The 4,212-nt window shown below is 42.5% G+C and overlaps 1 annotated feature.

Annotated features, from left to right (window-relative positions):
• Positions 3,663-4,212: an enhancer, noted in NCBI's record as "H3K27ac-H3K4me1 hESC enhancer chr3:137179051-137179600 (GRCh37/hg19 assembly coordinates)". NCBI's record gives its function as "activates a minimal SCP1, AML or CMV promoter by ChIP-STARR-seq in primed H9 embryonic stem cells {active_cell/tissue: H9 hESC(primed)}" and the evidence as "EXISTENCE:reporter gene assay evidence [ECO:0000049][PMID:30033119]".

Here is a 4,212-nt window from a genome sequence, read left to right on the forward strand (position 1 = left end):
TATGGCCATTTTCACGATATTGATTCTTCCTACCCATGAGCATGGAATGTTCTTCCATTTGTTTGTATCCTCTTTTATTTCCTTGAGCAGTGGTTTGTAGTTCTCCTTGAAGAGGTCCTTCACATCCCTTGTAAGTTGGATTCCTAGGTATTTTATTCTCTTTGAAGCAATTGTGAATGGGAGTTCACTCATGATTTGGCTCTCTGTGTGTCTGTTGTTGGTGTATAAGAATGCTTGTGATTTTTGTACATTGATTTTGTATCCTGAGACTTTGCTGAAGTTGCTTATCAGCTTAAGGAGATTTTGGGCTGAGACGATGGGGTTTTCTAGATAAACAATCATGTCGTCTGCAAACAGGGACAATTTGACTTCCTCTTTTCCTAATTGAATACCCTTTGTTTCCTTCTCCTGCCTGATTGCGCTGGCCAGAACTTCCAACACTATGTTGAATAGGAGTGGTGAGAGAGGGCATCCCTGTCTTCTGCCAGTTTTCAAAGGGAATGCTTCCAGTTTTTGCCCATTCAGTATGATATTGGCTGTGGGTTTGTCATAGATAGCTCTTATTATTTTGAAATACGTCCCATCAATACCTAATTTATTGAGAGTTTTTAGCATGAAGGGTTGTTGAATTTTGTCAAAGGCTTTTTCTGCATCTATTGAGATAATCATGTGGTTTTTGTCTTTGGCTCTGTTTATATGCTGGATTACATTTATTGATTTGCGTATATTGAACCAGCCTTGCATCCCAGGGATGAAGCCCACTTGATCATGGTGGATAAGCTTTTTGATGTGCTGCTGGATTCGGTTTGCCAGTATTTTATTGAGGATTTTTGCATCAATGTTCATCAAGGATATTGGTCTAAAATTCTCTTTTTTGATTGTGTCTCTGCCCGGCTTTGGTATCAGAATGATGCTGGCCTCATAAAATGAGTTAGGGAGGATTCCCTCTTTTTCTATTGATTGGAATAGTTTCAGAAGGAATGGTACCAGTTCCTCCTTGTACCTCTGGTAGAATTCGGCTGTGAATCCATCTGGTCCTGGACTCTTTTTGGTTGGTAAACTATTGATTATTGCCACAATTTCAGCTCCTGTTATTGGTCTATTCAGAGATTCAACTTCTTCCTGGTTTAGTCTTGGGAGAGTGTATGTGTCGAGGAATGTATCCATTTCTTCTAGATTTTCTAGTTTATTTGCGTAGAGGTGTTTGTAGTATTCTCTGATGGTAGTTTGTATGTCTGTGGGATCGGTGGTGATATCCCCTTTATCATTTTTTATTGTGTCTATTTGATTCTTCTCTCTTTTTTTCTTTATTAGTCTTGCTAGTGGTCTATCAATTTTGTTGATCCTTTCAAAAAACCAGCTCCTGGATTCATTGATTTTTTGAAGGGTTTTTTGTGTCTCTATTTCCTTCAGTTCTGCTCTGATTTTAGTTATTTCTTGCCTTCTGCTAGCTTTTGAATGTGTTTGCTCTTGCTTTTCTAGTTCTTTTAATTGTGATGTTAGGGTGTCAATTTTGGATCTTTCCTGCTTTCTCTTGTGGGCATTTAGTGCTACAAATTTCCCTCTACACACTGCTTTGAATGCGTCCCAGAGATTCTGGTATGTTGTGTCTTTGTTCTCGTTGGTTTCAAAGAACATCTTTATTTCTGCCTTCATTTCGTTATGTACCCAGTAGTCATTCAGGAGCAGGTTGTTCAGTTTCCATGTAGTTGAGCGGCTTTGAGTGAGATTCTTAATCCTGAGTTCTAGTTTGATTGCACTGTGGTCTGAGAGATAGTTTGTTATAATTTCTGTTCTTTTACATTTGCTGAGGAGAGCTTTACTTCCAACTATGTGGTCAATTTTGGAATAGGTGTGGTGTGGTGCTGAAAAAAATGTACATTCTGTTGATTTGGGGTGGAGAGTTCTGTAGATGTCTATTAGGTCCGCTTGGTGCAGAGCTGAGTTCAATTCCTGGGTATCCTTGTTGACTTTCTGTCTCGTTGATCTGTCTAATGTTGACAGTGGGGTGTTAAAGTCTCCCATTATTAATGTGTGGGAGTCTAAGTCTCTTTGTAGGTCACTCAGGACTTGCTTTATGAATCTGGGTGCTCCTGTATTGGGTGCATAGATATTTAGGATAGTTAGCTCTTCTTGTTGAATTGATCCCTTTACCATTATGTAATGGCCTTCTTTGTCTGTTTTGATCTTTGTTGGTTTAAAGACTGTTTTATCAGAGACTAGGATTGCAACCCCTGCCTTTTTTTGTTTTCCATTTGCTTGGTAGATCATCCTCCATCCTTTTATTTTGAGCCTATGTGTGTCTCTGCACATGAGATGGGTTTCCTGAATACAGCACACTGATGGGTCTTGACTCTTTATCCAACTTGCCAGTCTGTGTCTTTTAATTGGAGAATTTAGTCCATTTACATTTAAAGTTAATATTGTTATGTGTGAATTTGATCCTGGCATTATGATGTTAGCTGGTGAGTTTGCTCGTTAGTTGATGCAGTTTCTTCCTAGTCTCGATGGTCTTTACATTTTGGCATGATTTTGCAGCGGCTGGTACTGGTTGTTCCTTTCCATGTTTAGCGCTTCCTTCAGGAGCTCTTTTAGGGCAGGCCTGGTGGTGACAAAATCTCTCAGCATTTACTTGTCTGTAAAGTATTTTATTTCTCCTTCACTTATGAAGCTTAGTTTGGCTGGATATGAAATTCTGGGTTGAAAATTCTTTTCTTTAAGAATGTTGAATATTGGCCCCCACTCTCTTCTGGCTTGTAGGGTTTCTGCCGAGAGATCCGCTGTTAGTCTGATGGGCTTCCCTTTGAGGGTAACCCGACCTTTCTCTCTGGCTGCCCTTCACATTTTTTCCTTCATTTCAACTTTGGTGAATCTGACAATTATGTGTCTTGGAGTTGCTCTTCTCGAGGAGTATCTTTGTGGCGTTCTCTGTATTTCCTGAATCTGAACGTTGGCCTGCCTTGCTAGATTGGGGAAGTTCCTCTGGATAATATCCTGCAGAGTGTTTTCCAACTTGGTTCCATTCTCCCCATCACTTTCAGGTACACCAATCAGACGTAGATTTGGTCTTTTCACATAGTCCCATATTTCTTGGAGGCTTTGCTCATTTCTTTTTATTCGTTTTTCTCTAAACTTCCCTTCTCGCTTCATTTCATTCATTTCATCTTCCATTGCTGATACCCTTTCTTCCAGTTGATCGCAGCGGCTCCTGAGGCTTCTGCATTCTTCATGTAGTTCTCGAGCCTTGGTTTTCAGCTCCATCAGCTCCTTTAAGCACTTCTCTGTATTGGTTATTCTAGTTATACATTCTTCTAAATTTTTTTCAAAGTTTTCAACTTCTTTGCCTTTGGTTTGAATGTCCTCCCGTAGCTCAGAGTAATTTGATCATCTGAAACCTTCTTCTCTCAGCTCATCAAAGTCATTCTCCATCCAGCTTTGTTCCGTTGCTGGTGAGGAACTGCGTTCCTTTGGAGGAGGAGAGGCGCTCTGCGTTTTAGAGTTTCCAGTTTTTCTGTTCTGTTTTTTCCCCATCTTTGTGGTTTTATCTACTTTTGATCTTTGATGATGGTGATGTACAGATGGGTTTTTGGTGTGGATGTCCTTTCTGTTTGTTAGTTTTCCTTCTAACAGACAGGACCCTCAGCTGCAGGTCTGTTGGAATACCCTGCCGTGTGAGGTGTCAGTGTGCCCCTGCTGGGGGGTGCCTCCCAGTTAGGCTGCTCGGGGGTCAGGGGTCAGGGACCCACTTGAGGAGGCAGTCTGCCCATTCTCAGATCTCCAGCTGCGTGCTGGGAGAACCACTGCTCTCTTCAAAGCTGTCAGACAGGGACATTTAAGTCTGCAGAGGTTACCGCTGTCTTTTTGTTTGTCTGTGCCCTGCCCCCAGAGGTGGAGCCTACAGAGGCAGGCAGGCCTCCTTGAGCTGTGGTGGGCTCCACCCAGTTCGAGCTTCCGGGCTGCTTTGTTTACCTAAGCAAGCCTGGGCAATGGCGGGCTCCCCTCCCCCAGCCTCGCTGCCGCCTTGCAGTTTGATCTCAGACTGCTGTGCTAGCAATCAGCGAGACTCCGTGGGCGTAGGACCCTCCGAGCGAGGTGTGGGATATAGTCTCGTGGTGCGCCGTTTTTTAAGCCGGTCTGAAAAGCGCAATATTCGGGTGGGAGTGACCCGATTTTCCAGGTGCGTCCATCACCCCTTTCTTTGACTCGGAAAGG

This window comes from Homo sapiens, chromosome 3 (genome assembly GCF_000001405.40).
Source record: "Homo sapiens chromosome 3, GRCh38.p14 Primary Assembly".
NCBI classification, from domain to species: Eukaryota; Metazoa; Chordata; class Mammalia; order Primates; family Hominidae; genus Homo; species Homo sapiens.